Source organism: Homo sapiens, chromosome 4, assembly GCF_000001405.40.
Source record: "Homo sapiens chromosome 4, GRCh38.p14 Primary Assembly".
NCBI classification, from domain to species: Eukaryota; Metazoa; Chordata; class Mammalia; order Primates; family Hominidae; genus Homo; species Homo sapiens.
This window is the reverse complement of record NC_000004.12, coordinates 80147593-80171794: the sequence shown is the minus strand read 5'-3', so window position 1 is coordinate 80171794 and position 24202 is coordinate 80147593. Positions and strand designations below refer to the sequence as shown.

Here is a 24202-nt window from a genome sequence, read left to right as displayed (position 1 = left end):
ACTCAGCACATGAAGAACATTTTGGATACACCTATGATTTCATCCTGAACCAATCAGCAGGACCTAGTCCCTAACCCCCTGCCTGCCAAATTATCCTTAGCCTCCGAGCTTTCAATACTTAAACTCTTTCTTTGCTGCAGTATCTGCTATTTTCAGGGAATTGGCTTTTCTGGGCAGTGGGTAAGATGAACCAATTGGGCTGTTAACAGGAATACTGGAGCCTTGGGAGCCTTTTCCTTGGCCTTTGAAGTAAAGTTTCCACACCATGAGTGGCAAGCTGAAAGACCTGCAAACTCCTCTCTCACCCCATCCACCAAGCATTCAGCAATTAGAGCCAGGGTATTACTCAGAGAGAAGCTTGTCATTGTTTCCACCCCCAACTCCGTGCTCTAGCTCAGAAATTTTGCCTAGGGAGAGAATCAGGCCATAAAGCATGCAACTCTTTATCTCTTCCCAAGGGATCTTACTTTATTCCAAACAAAGTGTAGATAATTTTAAACTTAAGGGCACTCTCAAGAACAGTAGAAGTTGTGGTGAAAAGCAATTGAGAGGAAATTTTGGGACCAAATGAAGATATAGCCTAGACTGTAGGCCAGCTAGTTTGTAAGAGAGAACTGGGAAATAAGATAGCTGACAGGAGCTCTCTTGGAGTTAATACAAATAGCAAACACTGATCTCAGAAACTTTCCCATATAAAGTGTCACAATATTATTAGATTTATTTGTATATCTTTTTTTTTTTTTTTTTTTTGAGACAGAGTCTCACTGTGTCTCCCAGGCTGGAGTGCAATGGCACAATCTCAGCTCACTGCAACCTCTGCCTCATGGGTTCAAGCGATTCTCCTGCCTCAGCCTCCTGAGTAGCTGGGATTACAGGCACCTGCCACCATGCCCAGCTAATTTTTGTATTTTTAGTAGAGACGGGGTTTCACCGTGTTGGCCAGGCTCGTCCCAAACTCCTGACCTCAGATGATCCTCCCGCCTTGGCCTCCCAAAGTGCTGGGATTACAGGCATGAGCCACCATGCCCGGCCAATTGGATTTATTTGTAAAGAAAAAATTATGTTCCAGGGCACTGTTGGAAACAATTAAGCAATAGGCCAGAAATTAGTAGAGTTTAACAGCTAGGTGTAATCAGCGAAAGGGTGGGAGAGAATCTTACCAGTACCACTACTATCCCAGGATAATTGTTAGATATACCCAGAACTGTGCCTCACTGATCAGAGAGCATCAGAGGCTTACCATGATGTGTATGTTGAAAAGTGAGGGAATGGAAGCCAGGGAATAGACTTCAACTAAAATAACTCAGCACTCACTAAACAAATAAACAAGAAAATAATAATCGCAATCCTAGAGGGGGGCGGGGTACCAGTTTCCAGAGTTACTAAGATATATTATCTAAAATGTCCAGTTTCTAACAACAAATTATGAGCATGCAAAAGAATGGAAAAGTATAAATTGTATACTGGATGAAATACATGCAACAGAAACTTCTTATCAGGGTAAATTAAACAATTAAATCAAAAAGCAGAGATTATCAGACTTGATTTAAAAACATGCTTTAACTATATGTTGTCTTCAGGATAAACTTTATATTCAAAGACATAAATAGATTGAAAATAAAAGGATTTAAAAATATCAAAGACCAGGTGCAGTGGCTCATGCCTGTAATTCCAGCACTTTGGAGGCTGAGGTGGGCAGATCACTTGAGGCCAGGAATTTGACACCAGCTTGACCAACTTGGTGAAATCCCATCTGTACTAAAAGTACAAAAATTAGCCAGGCATCGTGGCACACACCTGCAGTCTCAGCTATTTAGGGAGCTGGGGCATGAGAATCACTTGAACCTGGGAGGTGGAGGTTGCAGTGAGTTGAGATGGTGCCACTGCACTCCAAACTGTGTGACTGAGTGAGATCCTATCTAAAAAAAAAAAAAAAAATTCAAGCAAACAACAACCACAAGAAAGCTGGCGTGGCTATACTAATAACTAAGTTAAACAGTTTTGCAGGATACAAAATCACTCTGCAAGAATAATTTGTATGTCTATACACTTACAATAAACAATATGAAAATAAGTTAAGTAAACAATTTCATTCATATTAGCATCAGAAAGAATAAAATACCCACAGGAGCAAATTTAACAAAATAAACGCAAAATTTATACCCTGAATACTACAAAATATTGTTAAAAGAAATTACAGAAGATTAAATAAGTGAAAAAACATACCATGGTCATGGATAGTAAGACTTAATATTGTTAAAATGGCAATATGTTGATCTACAGATTCAACATAATTTTTATTGGAAACCCAGCTGACTTTGCTGACATTGATGGCTGACTCTAAACTTAATGCGAAATTGCAAGGAACTCAGAATACCAAAACAAACCTGAAAATAATAAATAAGGAGAGCTTATATGTCTTGGTTTCAAAACCTACTACAAAGCAATTGTAATAATAACAGAGTGATACTGGCACAAGACAAACATTTTTATTTATTTGCTTAGGTGCCATAGCAGAATATCACAGACTGGATGGCTTAAGCAACAGAAATGTATTCTCTCACAGGTCTTGAGGCTGAAAGTCCAAGATCAAGGTGTCATCAGGAATGGTTTCTGGTATGAACTTTCTTCCTGAGTTGCAGATGGCTGCCTTTTCACTGTCTTCTCCTATGTGAGCATGCACTTGTGGTGTTTCTTTCTCTTGTTCTAAGGATACCCGTCCTATTGGGTTCAGGTCCTACTTTTATGACCTCATTTAATCTTCATTACCTTCTTAAAGGCTGTATCTCCAAATACAGATGGGTTAGGGCTTCAATACATGTATATGGGGGGCAGGAAACACAATTCAGTCCATAACACAATGCACAGAATTGAGAATCTAGAACTAAACCCATATCTCCATGGCCAACTCATTTTGTGCACAGGGTCCTAAAACATTAATGGGGAAAGAATAATCCCCACAAATTGTGCTGGGACAATTGGATAGCCACAGGCAAAAGAATGAAGCTAAACCCTTACCTCATACCATACACAAAAATTAACTCAAAATGGATCGAAGTCCTAAAAACTGAATGTTCTTAGAAGAAAACATAGAGGTAAAATCTTCATGATTTTGGATTTTCTAAAGAATTCTATAATATGATATTCAAATTAAAAGCAACAAAAACATTGAGAACTTGCAAATCATATATTTGATAAGAGTCTTACAGCTACAGTATAGAAAGAGCCCTTGCTACTCAATAATAAAAAAGTGATGCAATTAAAGAAAGAGCAAAGGATTTAAATAGACATTTCTCTAAAGAAGATTTAAAAATCACTAATAGGCACTTGAAAAGATGCTCAATATTATTAGTAATGAGGGAAATTTAAATCAAAACAACAATGAGGTATCATTTCACACATACTAGATTGGTTATAATAAAAAGGACAGATAATAACAAGTGTTGCCAAGGATGTGACAGTTCTTCAGAAGGTTAAGTTATCATATGATCCAGAAATTCTATCCTTTGATAACATATTCAAGGGAGTTTAAAAGATATGTTCGCACAAAAACTTGTATGCCCATGCTCATAGGATCACTATTCATAACTAAAAAGTGGAAACAACCCAAATATCCATCAACTGATGAATGAATAAACAGAATATCTTATATGTATACAATGGAATAATATTTACCCATAAAACCTAATGATATACCGCCACACACTACAACAAGAATGAACCTTGAAAACATTATACTAAGGAAAATAAGCTAGGTACAAACTGACAAATATTTTATAATTCTACTTGTATGAAGTATTTAGATTAGTAAAATTCATAGAGGCCAAAAGTAGAACAGTGGGGTGAGGAGGAAAGGAGAGTTATGATTTAGTGGGTACAGAGTTTCTGTTTGAAACAACGAAAAAGTTCTGGAGATGGATAGTGGTGAAGGTTGCACAACAGTGTGAATGTAGTTAATGCCACTGAGCTGTACACTTAAGGAAAAGTGTTAAAATGGTAAATTTTATGCACGTATATTTTATCACAACTGCACACATTGCAGGTGAGATAATATTTTGTGATGGGGTTTTAATGTGGAGGGAGGGTAAAAAGACACATATGGTGGTAATGTATCTATAGTCTACCTAAAGTAGTGAAATACTTATTCTACGTAGACTGTGCAAAACTAGCATGCTATCTTATAAGCCCTAGTGCAATTGCTTAAAAGCTATACAAAATATATAATAAAAAACAATGGATAAACCTAAATCACTAGCTACCACTTCACAACACTAGAATGGTTGTAAGAAAAAAATAATAATAAGTGTTGGCAAAGATATGGTAGGTAATTTCTCAAAAAGTTAAACACAAAGTTACCATATAATCCAGAATACTAAAAAATGCTTAACCTAAAATAGGAAAGGGAAAACAGGAGAACAGAAATGAGATACACTGAACAAAAACAAATAATAAAATGGTAGCTCTAAATGCAAACTTTCAATAATTGTATTAAATGAAAATGTTCTAAACACACCAATGGAAAAGACAGGGAAAAAAAACCACCACAAAACAAATTTATGCTGTCTACAAAATAGTGTGTTCAAATATATTTGATCAAAAAATATTAGGTCAATAGTAGAATGATAAAAATGAACACCTGAAAACATTAATCAATAGATATCTGCAGTGGCTATATTGATTACTGATATAGACTTTATAGCCAAAAAACTACCAGGAATAAAAGGGTCAGTATATAATGTTAAAGGAGTCAAATTATCAATAAGATAAAACCATCTTCAATCTGTATGCACCTAGTAATAGTAATTAAGTTACACAAAACAAAAAGGAATGGAAGTTAAAAGGTAAATAGACTAATATACAATTATAATTGAAGACTCCAATACTATTTTCTCAGTAACAGAATAACTAGTAGACCAAAAAATCAAGCAGGATATAGAAGAAAAAAGTATCACTATCGAACAACTGGATCTAATTGGCATTTATAGAACACTCCCCCAAACAACAGCAAAATATACATTTTTTCCCACATGCAATTGGAATCTTTACCAAGATAAGACGTGTCCTGGAACATAAAAAAAAATTAACAAATTTAAAATATTTGGAATATATGAAGATGTTCTCTGACCACAGTGGATATTAAACAAGAAACAAATATCAGAAAATTAACAGGAAAATTTCTAGACCCTTGGAAGTTAAATAACACGTATTGAAATAACCCATGTATCAAAGCAGAAATCTCGAGAGAAATTAGAAAATATTTTGAAATGAAGAAAAATGAAAATACATAAATTTTTTTTTGATGCAACTAAGTCACTGTTTGGATTAAAATTTATAACAACAAGATACATCTATCAGAAAAGAAGAGATCAGGTGCAGTGGCTCATGCCTATAATCCCAGCACTTTGGGAGGCCACACTGGGCAGATCGCTAGAGCTCAGAAGTTTGAGATCAGTCTTGGCAACATGACTAAACTCCATCTCAAGAAAAACACAAAATTAGCTGGGCATAGTTATGTGCGCCTGTTTTCTCAGCTACTTGGGGGCCAAAGCTGGAGTATTGCTTGGGAGATGGAGGGTGCAGTGAGCTATGTTTGTGCTGCACTCCAGCCTGGGTGACAAAGTGAGACTTGAAGGAAAGAAAGAAAGAAAGAAAGAAGGAAGGAAGGAAGGAAGGAAGGAAGGAAGGAAGGAAGGAAGAAAGGAAAAAGAAAGAGGGGAAGGAAGGAAGGGAGGGAGGGAGGGAGGAAAGAAGGAAGGAAAGGAAAGGAAAGAAAAGAAAGAGAGGGGGAAAAAACATTCTAAAAAAAAAAAATCTAAGCTCCCACCTTAAACTAGAAACAAGAAAAAAAAGAAACAGAAAGAAATAGTAAAAATAACAACATAAATCAAATGAATAAAAAGCAGAAACACAATAATCAAGGAAAACACAAGCTGATACCCTTAAAAGATTGATACAATTTATAAAGCTCTAGCAAGATTTACAAAGAAAAAAGAGACAAGACACAAATTTCCAGTATCAGGAATAAAAGAAGAGACACCATGACTGACTTTGCAGGCTCTAAGAGGATACTAAGTTAATACTATTGATAAATGCAACAAATCTGACAAATTATGTGAAATTCAAATTACTTGAAATACATCAAATTACCAATACTTACCCAAGATGATATAGATAATATGAATGGTCCTACAGCTATTAAAACCTCGAATTCAAAGTTAACCAAAAAAGCTTTCTGAAAAAGAAATCTTTATGCTTAGGTGTCTTAACTGTTAAATTCCACTAAATGTTTAAAGGAGATATAACACTAATGCTAGTTAAATTCTACTAAATATTTAAAGGAGATATAACACTAATGCTACATACTTTCTTCCAGAAAATGGAATAAAGGAGATATTTCATAATTTATTTTATGAAACCACGAATAAAATTCAAACAAAGGTGATACAGGAAAAAAAATTCCAAAGACCAATATATTCCTCATGAACATAGACACAGTCCCTGGTAAAATATCAGGAAATTGAACACAGCATTATATAAAAGGTAAACAGGAAACCAGCACTAAGGAAAAATGCAATTTACTCAAATAATGCAAGGTTTGTTCAATAATTGAAAAGTAATCTGTGTAACTCATCATATTGACAATCTAAGAAGAAAAACCCACATTTTATCAATTGATCCTGAATTGGCATTTGACAATATTTGATGTATATCTGATATAGATACAGATATACAAATTTTTTGAGACAGTCTCGCTCTGTCACCCAGGCTGGAGTGCAGTGATGTGACTACAGCGCGCTGCAACCTCTACCTCCCAGGCTCAAGTGATCCTCCCACATCAGCCTCCTGAGTAGGTGAGACTACAAGTGTGTGCCACCATGCCTGGATAATTTTTTATTTATTTTTTGTAGTGACAGGGTCTCACTATGTTGCCAGATCTGGTCTTGAACAGCTTTGCTCAAGCCATCCTCTTGCTTCAGCCTCCCAAAGTACTTGGATTATAGGCGTGACCTACCACACTGGCTTATATTTTTAAAAAGTTGTATTGTGTACATATGTGCAGTGCAACATAATGCTTTGATATATGTATACATTTGGAATAATTGAATCAAGATAATTAGCATGTACATCACCTCAAATACTTTTTTTTGTGGTGAGAAAATTTAAAATCTGCTCTCTTAGCAATTCTCAAGTACACAGTACATTATTATTAACTATAGTTACCATGCTATACAATAGATCTTCAGAACTTATTTCTGCTGTCTAACTGAAACTTTAAACCTTGTGACCAGCATCTTCCCATACTCTCTTTGTCCCCAGCCAGCCCCTAGTAACTGCCATTCTACTCTCTACATCTTTTAATTCAACTTTTAAAGATTCTGCATATAAGTGAGATCATGCAGTATTTGTCTTTCTGTGCTGGACTTATTTTACTTAGAATAATGTCCTCAAGTTCCATTCATGTTGTTACAAATCACAGAATTTTCTTCTTTTTTTAAGGCTGAATAGTATTCCATTGTGCATATGTACCACATTTTATTTGTTCATCTGTTGATGGACACTTAAGTTTATTAAATATCTTGGCTATTGTGAATAATGCTGCAATAAACACAGGAGTGCAGATATCTCTTCCACATACTGATTTAATTTCATTTGGATATGTACCCAGAAGTGGAATTGCTGGTTCATATGGTAGTTCTATTTTTAATTTTTTGAAAAACCTCCATATTGTTTTCCATAATTGCTATACTAATTTACATTCTCACCAGCAATGTGCAAGAATTCCTTTTTCTCTGCATCTTCACCAACATCTTCTATCTTTTTTTAAACATAAAAGGCATTATAATAGATGTGAAGTGATATTTCATTGTGACTTTGATTTGCATTTTCCTGATGATTAGTTTCATAAACCTGTTAGCCCTTTCAATGTCTTTTGAGAAATGTTCATTTGGGTCCTTTGCCCATTTAAAAATCATGCTGTTTTCTTGTTATTGAGTTGTTTGGCTTCCTTACATATTTTGGATATTATCCTCTCATTAGGTGTATGGTTTGCACGTATCTTCTCTTATTTCGTAGGTTGTCTCTTCACTCTGTTAGTTGTTTTCTTGGCTGTACAGAACCTTTTTAGTTTGATGAAATCCAGTTTATTTTTGCTTTTATTGTCAGTGCTTTTGGGGTCATATTCAAGAAATCTTTGCGAAGACCAATGTTAAGAAGCTTTTTCCTCTATATTTTATTATAGTAGTTTTGTAATTTCAGGTGATGTATGTATATGGGGTGATATAAGGGTCTAAGTTTATTATTCTGCATATGTTCAGTATCCCATTCTTGATAAAGAATTTCAGGCTGGGCACAGTGGCTCATGTCTGTAATCCCAGCACTTTGGGAGGCCGAGGCAGGCAGATCATGAGGTCAAGAGATAGAGACCATCCTGGCTAACATGGTGAAACCCCATCTCTACTAAAAAAACAAAAATTAGCTGGGCGTGGTGGTGCACACCTGTAGTCCCAGCTACTCAGGATGCTGAGGCAGGAGAATCGCTTGAACCCAGGAGGTGGAGGTTGCAGTGAGCAGAGATCATGCCACTGCACTCCAGCCTGGGTGACAGAGTAAGACTGCGTTAAAAAGAAAAAAATAATAGAATTTCAGCAATCTAGGAATAGAGGGTGACTTCTTCAACCTGATAAAGAATTTCTACAATAATCTATTCTAACATTTTATTTCCTGGTAATAGAATGAAAGCTTCTCTCCTAAAAAAGCTTTCCTCTTAAAAAAGGCAAGAATGTTCATTCTCACCAAAATTACTGAACATCATCCTGGAAAACCTAGCCATTGCAATAAATCAAGAAAAACAATAAAATAAAAGATGTATGAGGTGAGAAGGAAGAAATAAACTGTCCTTATTTTCATATGACATGATTTCCAACATAAAAATTCCCAGAAATTTATTTTTTAAATCCAAGGATAAATATGTAAGTCAAGCAGGGTTACAGAACACAGAACACAGACCTTGTTGTTTACAAGGTCAAAACACAAAACAATCATTATTATGCACGCTAGCAATGAACAATTTGATAACAAAAATTTTTTTAAAAATTACAAAACTCTCTACAGAGAAGAAATACATAGTAACAAACCTAACCAAACTGCAATATCTGTGTGCTGAAAACTACAAAATGCTGATGAAGGAAATCAAAGAAAATCTGAATAATAGAAAGATATGGCTTGCTCACGGATTAGAATATTAAACAGAGGAAGGTTGTTAATTCTGGCTAAATTATAATTTTATGCAAAATTCTAATGAAATTTTTGTGGGTTTTCTTCGTAGACGTAGACAAGCTGATTCTAAAATTTATATAGAGGGCCAAATGAATTAAAATGACTAAAGCAGTCTTAAAAATTAGAGAATTCATAGCACCTGACTTTTAGATATACTACAAAACTACAATAATCAAGAAAATGTGGTATTAGCAAAGAAACAGACTCATACATCAGTCTAGAGTAGTCTTGGAACAGGATAAACAATCAAGAAGTAAATCCATATAGGTATAACTATTTGATTTTTGGCAAAGGTGCAAAATAAGTAAATAGAGAAAGAACAGGTTTGGTTTCTTTGAAAAAATAAATGGTGTTGGAACAATTGAACACCCACATGCAAACAAAACATAACAAAAGGAAAAATTAAACTTTACACCTATATCTTTTTTTTTGTTTGTTTTTAGAAACTGATATTTATTTTTCGTCAACGTTATTTCCATGTTGCTTAAGAGCCTGTGCAAGAACAGCTTAAGACCATTCAGTGGTTGCTCCTACGCATTCAGTGGCCTGAGTGGTGGGAGCTGCAGACCAGTCTTTTGTGGCAGGCCAAGCGCTCCAGTCTTCAGTAGGGAACTGCTGAATAGGCACAGAGTGCACCTGCACATCTTTAGACCAGTCTGCAACCTCAGACTGAGTAGCAGTGAACTCAGGAGCTGGAGCAGTCCATTCACCTTGAAAATCCTCCTTAGTCACAGCGTTTTCAGCAGCAGCCTGCTCTTCTTTTTCAATCTACAGAATCTCTGTAGAAGTAGAGATCAGGCATGACCTCCCATGGGTGTGTATGGGAAATGGTGCCACGCATAGGCAGAACTTCCCGGACCAGTATCCGTCACATCAAACCCACTGAGTCAGCTCCCTTGTTGTTGCATGGAATGGCAATGTCCACATAGCGCAGAGGAGTATCTGTGTTACACAGAGCAATGGTAGGTAGGTTAAGATAAGATGTCTCCGTGAGAGGCTGGTGGTCAGTCCTGGGGTCAGTAACCACAGGAAGTCATGGCTCCCGGAAGGCTGCCTGTATCTGGTTAGTGAAGGTTTCAGGAGTGAAGCGGCCAGCAATTGGAGTGGCTCCAGTGGCAGCAGCAAACGTCAGCTTGGCCCTCTAGCCAGTATTCCTGGAGGATATAACACTGACATCAGCAGGGTTTTCAATGGCAACAATGGCACGAGCTGCCAGCAGAAGCTTCTCCCAGGTCCTCTTCAGATTTATGATGTAGATCACATCACTTTTCCTTTTATAGATGTACTGTTCCATTTGGAAGTCAAGATTGGCGCCACGTAAGTGGGTTCCTGCTGCAAGGAATTTAAGGACATCCTCCTTCATTTGCAGGACATCAAGGGCTCCAGACATTGTGAAAGTTTCCCTTTAAGTTACGACGGGAATTCACAACAAAGCTGTATGGACCCTTCTGTAGGTAGCGCGGAAAGGCTGTATCACTATTAATGCAAAGTAGATAATAGATCTAAATGTAAAACCTAAAACTATAAAGCTTTTAGAAGAACACATGAATTGGGGTTAGGCAAGATATCAAAGAGTTATCAGACATGATATCATAAGTGTTATTCATTTATAAAAAAGATAAATTGGATTTTAATAAAAATTTAAAACTTTTTGCTCTCGGAAGGACACTGTTAAGAAAATGAAAAGATAAGCTATGTACTAGGATAAAATATTTTCAACGTATATATCCAACAAAGGACTTCTGTCCAAAATAGAAAAAGAACCCTCAAAATTCAACAGTAAGAAAATAAAAAGCTCAATTAAAATATAGGTAAATGATTTGAACAGATACTCAACAGTGAGGATATATGGATACAAATAACCACACAAAAGGATATCTACTATTTTTCATCATTGTAGATATGAAAATTGAAACCACATAATTTTCAATATTGAATAGTTAAATTTAAGAATATTGAAAATACCTATTGCTGATGAGGATGCAGAGAAATTTTAACTCTCATACATTCTTTATGGGAGTTACACAGGCCTTGAAACTGAACAAAATTGTCCCCTACTTCAAAATTAATTGGAACTGGTGACTCTTTATCCCTTCCAATTTTTCCCTTTTGGAATGAAAAAGTTTATACTGTCTATATTTAATGTCTGTGCCTGTCCCACCATTGTGTTTTGGATTCAGATAACTTGCTTTCTTGTTTTACATGTCCATAGAAAGACAACTATTTTTTCCCAGAATGGATCATACCTAGTGATATGGTTTGGTTCTGTGTTCCCACCCAAATCTCATGTTGAATTGTGATCCTGACTGTTGGAGGTCAGGACTGGTGGGAGGTGATTAGATCATGGTTCAGGAAGTCTGGAATAGGTTAGCAATTTAAAAAAAAGTTAAACATACACTTACATAACCAAGCAATCCCATATTTTTGGTATTTACCCTAGAGAAATGAAACATATTCACAAAATCTTATTAACTAACATTCACAGCAGCTGTATTTGTAATTTCTAAAAACTGAAAACCAGCATAACATCCTCAGTGGATGAATTGATAAACCACTTCGGTATATACATATAATGGAATACTTTCTACTCAGCAAGAAAAAGAAAGAAACTGGTCTCGTATACAATTCTTGGATGCATCTCAAAAGAATTAAGCTGAGTGAAAGAAGATAATCTGAAGAAGTTACACACTGTTGTTTTTATTTAAAGCAACATTCTAAACAAAACACTGTAGTACTGGAAGGTGGCAACAAATGTCTAAAAATATGGAAGTGGATATCCTATTCTCATTGCCACTTGTGGGAAATTCAAGATATTTATGGGGTGATAAAAGATATGGGCATGGGGTGGCAGTACCACATGCAGGCTTTATCAGGACAATGCCTTGACAGATTTGTATATTAGAAGTCTCTCACTGCATGAGACTGTCCAGAGGCTATGGTGTGGGGGCCACCACTCTGAAGGGAAAGAAGACAGAGTACTTCTGTGGGAGAGGGCTTAGGAGACAGAACTTATGTGTCTACATGATGTCACTCTAAGTAGCCCACAAGAGATTCTCTAGGTGAGAGGGTTCCAGAGCATAGCAGCAGTTTGGGATCTTTACAGATTTGGAGTTTATCCTATGGCTAGCAGATGCTGTGTGCACTTCCATGAGGCATGCAAAGCAAACAGGCTCTAAACATCTAAAATATGCTTATTTGTGGAATATTTAAAACAATGAGATATACGAAAATTTGAGTTTGGCCCTATTATGCTTATAAATTAATGGGTCCTTGCCTGCTGTGAAGAAGTAAACAACCTAGGCGCCAATATTCAGAGGTCATAATTAGTGTGATTATATAACAATTGGTTAATGGGTAGAGGCTGGAGGAAATTAGGGTACATAATAAAAAACAAAACAAAACACCCTAGATTGCCTTGAAGAGACTGTGGGTAGAAATCGGAATGTTACAGGCAATTCTGTTAAGGAGTCAGGAAATGAGGAACATGTTATCGAGATTGAAAACACTTTATACATAACTGAGGAATTGTTATATAGTGGCAGAAAACTTGGCTGTATTGTCTTCTGTAGTTGAGGAGAAAACAGAGATTAGAAACAATAAAATTTGATGGGTAGCTAAAATGATTTCCAAATAAAGCATTGAAGGTGCGGCCTATTTTTTTTCCTGCTTAGTAAAAAGCAGTAGGAAAGAAATAAAGTAAGAAAGTTAAGCAAAAAGGAATTTGCACTTGATAAATCAGGAGGTTATTGGTCTATCCAGATTGTAAAGCCTGCTAAAATGAGGAAAGTCACTGTCAGGAAAGTGTGCAATGTAGAAGACGCCAAGGAAATGGTTGGATAAACTTTTATTGATGCACTTAGGTGTGTGATTAATGGATCCACTCAGCCATCTCAGTGGAAGCCAGGGATAGAGATGGGGTTATCCAGGAAAGATCTATGGAGGACTCTCTTGTCTAATGCCATAGACCCTTGTGACATACACAGGAGATCCACAAATTTATTGAGAATGTCATATCAGCAGGAACACTCCTAGCTTGGACTGAAAGGAATAGAGAAAGGACAACATGAGAGAAAGATATTGAGCTTCCAGAACTACACTGGCAGGAAACTGCAACTGCAAACATGTGCTCCCACTTAAGCAGAAGGAATAATAACTCTCTTTATTATTCCTTTAGAGGAGACCGTGCATGTGGAACAGAGGCCTGAGGAACTGCCACAATTTCAGATGGCACAGCATCAAGGCACAGAGCATTACTACGGGCCTTGAAACCTAACAAAAGCGTCCTGTTTCAAACTGAATTGGAATGGTGGCTCTTTATCTCTTCCAATTTATCCCTTTTGGAATGAGAAAGTTTATACTATCTATATTTAATGTCTGTGCCCGTCTCACCATTGTATTTTGGATTCGGATAATTTGTTTTCTTGTTTTACATGTCCACAGAAAGAGAAAAGTTTTTTTCCCAGAAGGGATCATACCTAGTGACATGGTTTGGCTTTATGTTCCCATCCAAATCTCATGTTGAATTGTGATCTTGTTGGCAGTCAGGAGTGGTGGGAGGTGATTAGATCATGGGGGTGGTTTCTAATGGTTTAGCACCATCTCCCCAGTGCTATCTTGTGATACACTTTTCATGAGATCTGGTTGTTTAAAAATGTGTAGCACTTTCCCCTCTGCTCTCTGTCGTCCTTCTGGTCTGCCATGTGAAGAAGGTGCTTGCTTCCACTTCACCCTTACACCATGATTATAAGTTACTTGAGGTATCCCCATCCATATCTCTTGTACGGTCTCTGGAACTGTGAGTCAATTAAACCTCGTTTCTTAATAAATTATCCAGTATCAGGTAGTTCTTTATAGCAGTATGAGAACAAACTAATACACTCAGAGACTAATTTGTACCTGATTTAGTTGATGAGATTGGGACTTTTGAGCTGATGATATTTAGATGGGACTTTGTACTTAGAATGGATGATGTAATGGTTGGGACTTTGGAGAATATGAGTGGTATGAGTATATTTTATATGTGTGACAGGTGTGAATTTTGGGGGGCCAGAGGGTGGACTGTAGGAGGTTGAATGATGCCACTCTCAGAAGATATGTCTATATCCTTATCCCCAGAACCTGACAATGTGATTTTATTTGGAAAAAGGGTCTTTGTTGGTGCAGTTAAGCATCTCAATATGAGATCAACCTGGATTATGTAAATGAGTTCTAAATCCAATGACATCCTTTTAAGAGAAACACAGGACAGAAACACATAGGAAGATGAGAAGATCATAAGAAGACAAAGGCAGAGATGGGAGTTATGCAGCCACAAGCCAGGAAATAACCTAGAGCCATCAGGGAAGAGGCAAGGAAGAATTTCCCCCTAAAGCCTTCAAAGAGAGTGACACCTTGATTTTGGACTTCTGGTGTCCAGAACTATGAGATAACTCATTTTGGTTGTTTTCAACCACCGTTTGTGGTAACTTGTTATGGCAGCCCTAGGAAACAAATACATATACTTTGTTACATTTTTAGATTTAGAGCTCTTTTAAGTGAGGATCACACTGGTATTATAGAAGAACCCTCATGTACATTTGGTTTCTTTGTGTACGTTTGGGAGCCTGGGATTCTTGTTGTTGAAATGATAGCGACAGAAAATACAGCCCTAAGTTTACACAGACTTCTTAATAGCCCCCATGAAGAGCAACTCTTAAGAAAGCATAAGATTCTACGTCACATTCAATTTTGGGTCTCATTGGGCAATATAGGATTCTACCGAAAAGGTATGTTGTTTTTAATCTTCCAATTTGTAGCAGGATTACTTCTACAATGGGAGGTAATTTCAGTAGGTAGTTAGGACATAAGGACAAGAAGGCAACTTTTCTGAGCTGGTTTTCTTATCTGTGAAATAGGAAAGCATTAGGATCTAACTTGCATCATTGTTTATTTTACATGAGAAAGAATGTGAACATGCTTTTTAAGCTATAAGACACCACACAAATGTACTTTAAAACTATTAATATTGCTAGATGATTTTAAGCTGAAATATTACAACATTTACACTTTATGCTAACATGTTTTCTCCCTCATTCCTATTTCATTAAATTAATTCCAACACTGAGTCATTTATCTTGACATCTCATCAGTTTCCACAATTTTGGATCACTTGGCTATTCCACACCATCATCCAAATTCAGATTAAGAAGTTTGCCTCTAGTTTTTGAGGCTATTATAACAATGTTTGGAAAATTGTGAATGAGCATTTTTTTCTGGAATTAATATATTTATCAAGTCATTCCCAGTGGGCCATCACTTACCCGTTACATATCCAGCTATCTAGCTATTTTGATAATTTTCTTATTGATAAAAGGTTGGCCATGAAATTTTTACTTGATTTGAGAAATCTAGCTATTCAATTATTATTGATTTTAATGTTATAGTTTTGCTGTGTTTAAGAACAAAAACAAAAACCCTAGGTATTAACTGAAAATCCCAGTTAATAACCTGAATAAACATTGCAAAATAATTTCTTATATTTGAATTTTTCTGTTTTAACTAGGATATTATACGTTGCTGACTATAGCCTTCATGCTAATTAACTTCAATCAAATGAAGACTCTGATTCTAGCAAGAAATGTCAGAAAGAATAAGGTAAAAATAATATGTCAGCCTTCACTCTTCATGCTGAAGCCTTTAGCTCCAAAATAATAGAATGAAAGGCTATGGAAATTCGTTCATGCAAAACAATTACTTCCCATATTTGACTCATTACCATATAGCCATGTTAACTCATGGTGGATTCATTTCCTTTATTTGCTTTCTCTGAAGGCATTTTTTTCACTTTACTGTTTACTGCTTGTCCAATATTTTGTTTTTTCTACTATTCTTTGTTCAAACTGCAAAAATCTGAAATAAAAATATAATATAGAAGTATAGGCATCAGCTAACATTTTCTATGGCATATGGTACTTCAGATGCCATATGTACCAGTGTTTAGTGATTCTGGCAAAGAGGCATAGAATGGTGAAATCCAACTGCCAGGATTGCTGAAAACAAATATGTAAATGCTCCAGGGCTTTTGTTATTCATAACATACCTCTAACACAGCACATACAATATGCTGTTCATTCTGTAACTAGTATAACTAATAAACCACATTTTTCTCTCTTATTTTTTAAGGCCTCTCCAAGTCTGTATGGTCTTCTGACTCTAACCTTCAATCTCAGTACTGAACTCTATATTTTAGGAAGCTCATATTAATGAAAGAGGCCTAGGGGAATACATTCATCCTTTTTCAAGGGCATTTATTTATTTTTCAAATTAAAATCCAAAGTCTTCTGCAGGCATCTTCTGTGAAACAAAGAAAATGCACTGGGTATGTTCTCTAGACACCAGGCAGTCACGAGGCAAAAGCAGATAACACCAGGAAAGGCAAATTTTGGCAGAAGAACAGGAGAAGTTTCTTTACTGTGAGGGTGTCCAGTGGTCTTCCCCACACTGAAGTTCCATAGGATGTAATGTAAGAGGAAGTCTATGGATATAATTACTTTTGAAAAGGTACACAATGAGAATTTTAATACTTTTAAGCTGCTACAAGCATTCAAGCCCATGTAAAAAAAATCACAATTTTGAGATAATCATTATGTAAGAAATAAAAGTCAGCCTTGTTTGTTTTGTTTTCTCTGCTAACTGCACATAGCTGATGGAAAATAACCTCCTCCTTTCTGTTTCATAGATGGGCAGTAGACACAAAGTGGAAAGAACAGCGAGAGTACTTAGAGGTCATTATGTTCCACTTGTCATCAGACAAGCCGTTTAACCTCTTTGAGCTTGTTTCCATATGTATGATGAGGATAATATCTTCCCTGGGGATATTACTGTGAGGATAATATGCTATAATCTTTGTGAAAGTGCACTTATCTAGCATTTTTATTATTAAAAAGAAAGCATCTGTAGATTTACTGGTAGTTTAGAGATCTAAGGAGGCTCGTACTACTCACCACTGTTTTTCAGTACGCACAAAAATGTAGAAAGAATATTGGAGACGGAAAATTGTGAATGTACCAACGAGATGGTCAATGATAAGAATGACTCCTTCTGGGTTTAGTTCTTTTAGGTTGAAACAAATGAAACTATATAGGTCAAAAATGATCTAATGTAAGACAAACTATTTAGTCATCCTTAGCTGTTTTGATGGATTCCCACGGTATCACATACACACATGCTCACATTTTCCTTTCAAGTTTCTGCAGTAGCTATTAACTAGAAGAGCAGTCTGATTTCCATTTCTGCTTACCAGCTTCTTCCTTTTTCATCACCCCATTATCAAATTATTTGATTATAACTCTGAAATGGTTCTTAAATGTGAACTTTTTATGCCCACTGCCAGTGCCACAGTCCAGCTATTTCTTGCTAAGATTGTTGAAATATTCTCCATCTAATATTCAACCTAATAATTCTCTGTGACAGCAACAATAGTAATTTGAAGGACTGGGAAGAGGAGTAGGAATATAGTTGGCAAGGTCAGCAAATTATTTCCAGGTTTAGTCTGAGATCCAAGATATAATTATAAACAGATGTTAAGGACAATAACAGAATGTTGGGAGGAGGAACTGAATACTTATGAAAGGGGTACTAAGAGTTGTTCTAAAGAGGAAAATAAGATCAAGAATCAGGAAACTCTAATATAAGGTGATGAGGCTGGGTGCAGTGGTTCATGCCTGTAATCCCAGCACTTTGGGAGGCCGAGGTGAGTGGATCACCTGAGGTCAGGAGTTTGAGACCAGCCTAGCCAACATGGTGAAACCCTGTCTCTACTAAAAATGCAAAAATTAGCTGGGTGTGGTGGCTCATGCCTGTAATCCCAGCTACTTGAGAGGCTTAGGCAGGAGAATCGCTTGAACCTGGGAGGTGGAGGCTGCAGTGAGCCAAGATCGCACTACTGCACTCCAGCCCGGTCAACAGAGCGAAACTCTGCCTCAGAAAAAAAAAAAGAAATATATATATCTATATATCTATATATATATACACACATACAGTAATGAAACTTGCATTAGAACAGCTATTAAAGTTGCCTGCCCTGTAGTCTCATTGTCAGTAACTGGGGTTGGGGGATAAAACCTCTTCTTACCTATAGGTGATGATTGTTTGGAGGGAGTGATTCTATGGTTTGACCTTTATATAGGAAAAGTAGATGGAGCTATGTTATAGGGGAGCTTATGAAAAAATCCCCAAATGGGGCCTGAGATCTCTGGAATGCTATCATGTAATAATAATTTCCTTCCCATAGGTACAATAAGACTGATAAATCCAACTATTTTTCTTAAACAAGGTGGCCTAAGTTTGCTGATCTCTTTTATGTAATGTTCTGTCACTTAATTGAAAAAATAAATAAATGAAATTCCTTTATAAAAGCTCCTTTTGTTTTGAAATTATATCGTATTAGTCTTTTGATACCTTTAAATCCACACATAAAATAGGAAAAAATCGTGTCTCTGAATTCTAGGCAAGACAAAAGGAAGTTACAATTGAGTTTCATCACAGGTGGAATACTTCCAAATGCTGCCTGGAAAAAATAATAAGTAATAATAAGTGAAGAATACTTTTCTCCCAGGTATAGTAGATAGGAAAAAACCTGCAGAGAATTAGCAATTACTGAGAAATCATGATGACAACTTAGGGACTATTGACAATTAAAATTTTTCATCTTCAGACAGAGAACATGGCTGGATTAGAGGGGAAAGCATTCTCAAATTCAGCAGAAACAGTAACAAATTGCTGTCCTGATTTTATTTATAAACCCATGTCGTTTTAGATTATCTGTTCTAATTGCAAAATCTTTCAGTAAGAAAAAAAAGTAATAGTTGCGAGAAAAGCTTTCAAAATAGCTTATCTCTGATCATTAGAAAGAAACAAAGTAATACAGACATACTCCAGAGAGTGGTATCATCCACCATTGATGGTAACAATTCTCAAGTGAGACTGGGTCATGATACAGCTTAAATTTTTGGTAAAGAAGACAGACTTCAAAATAGGTACAAGCTGCTCTCATGAACTAATAAATACATTTTTGAAAATTCAGAAAGAATAGAAAAAAGTGCTTCAGAATAAAGTAGGGGTCTCAAGAACAGCAGAGAACCCAAGACAGACGCAATAATCAATAGATTAATTAATCAACAAATCAATTCAGTACCCTAGAACCAGCTTCTATAGGAGGCACTGAGGATAGAATAAAAACATAACACAGATTCAACTCTCAAGAAGCTTGTAATCTAGTAGAAGAGGAAGAAAAGACCGAAATACTATGCAAGACTCATTTGAATCATGGTATGAGAAAAAGAGTGATTCGTTCTACTGGACTTGGTCAGAAGAGGCTTCACAGAGGGACACATATCTAAGCTTGATCTTGAGAGATAAATAGGAGCCTTTTGTTTTGGAGAGTAAGGGAAAACATTTCAATTAGAAGAAACAGCATTTAGCAGACTTAGAAGATCTGAAAGAGTCATGTCGGAAAGACTAGGACACAGAAAAACAGAACTTATGGAAACAGTGGGCTACAGCAAAAATGAACTTGGCCGATGAACTGAAAAAATAGAGATTTTGGAGACTGGGAAGTGCAGTATTACTAATTTAACAGCAAGAAAATTATTGTTCAATCAACAACAGGTTATCATATATTTCTAATTTCCCCCACCTCCTTATCCCTTCATCCTATTCACCTCCTGATGACCACCTCACTAAATGTTTCTGTAGCTAGTCTCCATGGCACTGTAGCACGGCTAAACCAGCTGAGGGTTTATAAGCAACTAGCACAAGTTATTGTGCATGATGACTCCAGGAGTTATACCAGGGACGTTTCTTGGATGCCCCAAAGTTGTTGGGTCACAGCCCTTACTCCAGCCTAGTTTTGCCCATGCTTGAAATGGCCAAAGGGAGTGAATTTTCTGGTGAATTCTGATGAAGAGCAAAATACAAAGAAGGGCAATGGTATCGTCGCTCATTCATATGCAAAGAGAGAAATACATTGCGTAAACATTTTGTTTATCAACTAGAATACAAAATTATTAATATTTTATTTTAAACCACATTTTCTTTTTATTGTGACTGTATCTTTTCTTGTGAATCATCTTCTGAACACACTTAGAGTTGATGATGGGAAGTAAATTTTAAATGCAAGTAAGTTCTGTGGTGAGGAGGTAGGATCTCAGCATTATTCCATCAACATGATGCATTTTCTAAGTAAATGTTTACCATTATAATGGCACATACATAAAAGCTCACGTACAAATGTTGCCAATAAGGACTTAAGAAAGCATTTCTATATATCCATTCTATAAAATAAATATAAAATATTTTATGGAATACTTATAAATACATATTTCCACAACATACTTTAGAAAAGAACCAAACCCCTTTATGACAAATCTGCCAACAGAATAAACAATCTTGACTACAATGCAAAGCTTGCCAAGTCCTGTCAGAAAGCTCTTGTGCCTCAGTGTAATTCTTGAATAGTGAAGAACCACTAAAATAACCCTTTCACTCAGACTCCTGTGATTCCCTGCAGGGAGCTTTCACTGCAGTTGTCACTGTGCAAAAGCAATCAAATTTAACATATAGATACAGGGAGAGAAGGCGTGTGAGAGCATATGTGTGTGTGCTCTCACATATGTGTGTATGTATGTATATAGAAGGACAGCTGATGTCTCTGATCTAATAAAATATATATGAATAATTGGCAAAGGGGTCTGTAGGACTTCAATGTCTTTAGTTTTTCACCCAGTGGACTTCAAATTTTATTAGAGCTAATGGAGATTTTCATTGAGTTTATGTTCATGGATTTTTAAGTCCATATACTCAGCAGGACAAAATTATCATATAGAACAGTATTTCTCAAATGGTAGGTTGTGATTGATTAGGAGGTTATAAAATCTATTTAAAAAGTTGTGATCAGCATTTTAAAGATTGAAGTAAAATAGAATAGAAAACTACAGAAAAGTAGTATAGTATATAGTAAATGTAATATTTTTGTGAAATTTTAGTGGGTATATGAATATGTGTGTTTGTAAGTGTGCATGTATATGTTTTTATTGGGCCATGGTCTCCACTTTAAAATGTGAATTGTAATAAAAAAAGTTTGAAATTCACTGACATAGAGTTTCTCTTTTAATTCTGTGTTCAGTACAGTATTTTCATCCTGGAAACAATGAACTCCCTGAAGGCAAGTATTGGATGTATTTCATCTTTATACCCTCCACAGCCCCTGAAGTGCCATGCACTTAGTGGAAGATCACTAAAGAATTATCAAACAAATGTTGAGAACTTCAGCTGGTTGTATTTAAAAGGATAATAAAGATAATAGTTTGCATTGATACAGCACTTCATACTTTTCAGAGTGCTTTCCCATCAATGATCTCATTGATAATTCAGAACTATTCTGTTGGAAGGAAGCACATGGACTGTTGCATTAATAAATTTAATTATCTCCTAAGTGTGCTTCATATTTCAGTGGTACACAATAAGACATTCTTTAAGTAGACCTTAACATTTATGTCTAGAGAGCATCCAGGTTTTATGGGACCTGAAGCTTATAGAATTTTGGAGACCTTCATTAAGAACAAACACTCAAAATTAGGAATAGAAATGTAGGCAGAATAGTAAATATTTATTTACAAGGAGAAAGTAAATTATAAAAACTAAATAAATGGAAAATCTGGCAATTATTACAAACATTATAAAATCCAGAAAAATATAAGCAATATGAGATTTAAATCAATGTCTGGCATCTCTATAATATTTTCTTCGTCCTTTTTTGTTGCACACTTTTGTTTTTCTTTTTGAGACAGAGTCTCACTCTATCACCCAGCCTGGAGTGCAGTGGCAGGATCTCGGCTCACTGCAACCTCAGCCTCCCAGGTTCAAGAGATTCTCCTGTCTCAGCCTCTGTTGCATACACTTTGATTGCCTCTCTTGTGGCAAAAAAGTTGTAGGATTGTTTTTAATAAAGAGAATAGAATATTTATTTATCATAGCTAATTGAAATTACTTTTTTATTTTCGACAGGTTAGATGCATAGAACATCATCTATGATTTCATAGTCATACTTGCTATTTGTACTACTCCTAAGATTTGTGCCCTTCAAATACATGAATTCTTATGAATTCCAATCTCTGTTTCCTCAGCTCAGCAATGCTACTGGTCTCTGGCTCTTCCTCGACTGTGGCCTGTAAACTTTCTGCAAGTTGTAAGCTAGTGCAAATGTAGGGTTCAGTTTGTTTGTTTCCCAGCTTTCAGAGATCACAGTCCTGTTTGGCCTGCTGTCTCATGTCTGAAAAGTATTTTTTTCATTTATTTCATATATTTATTCATGTTTTTCATGTTTAAAGTGGGAGGGTAAATCTGATTTGCATTATTTCATCTGGTCAACATTGGAAGTCTACAATATCATTTTTAATTTCTGCATAGTATTCCATTTTATAGATGTGCCATATTTAAACTAATGACCTATTATCAGATATTTACCGTTTTTCAATAATGAAACTTCTTTTGCATAAATATGAAAATATTATGCAGATATATTTCTATACTCTTTCAAATATTTCTTTACATAAAATTTCTGGTCTAAGAGTACATAAAAACCAAGAATTTTTTTCTGTAAATTATAAGATATTACTTACCCATCTAAAGTAAGTGCTGGGAATCCTTAGGAACTAACTAAATAACAGTCTTCTTGACTACATAATTTTTAAACAAACTGATACATAATAAAAAGAAATGCCAGCTGTAAGCCAAAATGGCAGGTTTGTTGCCTAGAGAAGGTAAGTTAGGTGGTGTGAGGGCTAAAGAAGCCTGCCAACTGAACACAGGGTAAGTAGAGTTGCCCAAGGACAGATAATCCTAGACCAGGAGAAGCTTCATCATATTTAATTACTCCTCCGGAGACAGAGTTTACGGTCTGAAACTCCCAGTAAAAGGCCACTAGCAATAGTTTCCCAGTAGGAAGGAGGAAGAAACTGAGCTGACAAAATGCTTGTTTACTTTTCCAAAATCTACCAATCGATAAGTCATTCCACTTCCTGGGACAGATGATAAAGTTGTATAAAAGATGCCAGCAGTTGTGCTAATTAAGGTCTCTCCAATATGGAAGAAAATATCAGGAAGGGATAAGAAATACTTTCCTGCTAATAACAATAGTTATTGATAACTTACTATGTACGAAGTAATACTCATAATTTCATTAAATCTTTACTTTAACTGTATGAAGTAGATACCATTATTCTTATTTTATAGAAAGGCTTAAGGTCTGTACTGAGGGAACCTAGAACTACTCTCTAAAGTTCACAGTACTTCTCAGTGTGTTTTGCACACTACTTGTATCGAAAGTACTTAGGAAACCTTTAAATTATAGTAGATAGTACCATTTCTTAAATATGTGAAAAGTATAACTTTTATAAAGTTGTCATGTAATTGAATTTAATTTCTGCTTAGAGCCACTGTTCCCAATTGATGACAGAAAAATTAATCTACCCACATTAAGTTAAACCTAGAAATTAAGGATTATTCTCAATTCAGATTCAAACTTCTACTCCACCCTTGTTTCCTGAGGTTGTACCTAAGCTCTGGAGGTTGTTTTTTTTTTCATCTTTACTTGTCAGGAATTCTACAATCACACCGAATTCTATTCTCTCTCTGTTAGGCTCCTTTTCCTTGTCAGGGCTAAGGGTAGATGGAGAATGGGCGTATCTAGCTCATCCCTGAACCTATTGTTTATGAATAATCCTTGGTTTTGTTGTTCAAAATAAACATTTTTCCTTCTTTCAAAGCTGTAGACTTTGTGGAATTTAAAGGTATATTAAAAAGTAATAATTAGGTTCTTGTTCTTTTTGTACCTCAAAGTAATGCTGCTTCTGACTGAATAGGGGAAAAACAACAAGAAAACTAAGTA

At 35.8% G+C, this 24202-nt stretch overlaps 1 pseudogene; it reads right to left on the bottom strand.

The window, feature by feature from the left end:
* RPSAP39 (ribosomal protein SA pseudogene 39) lies at nt 9714-10742 on the bottom strand (annotated as a pseudogene).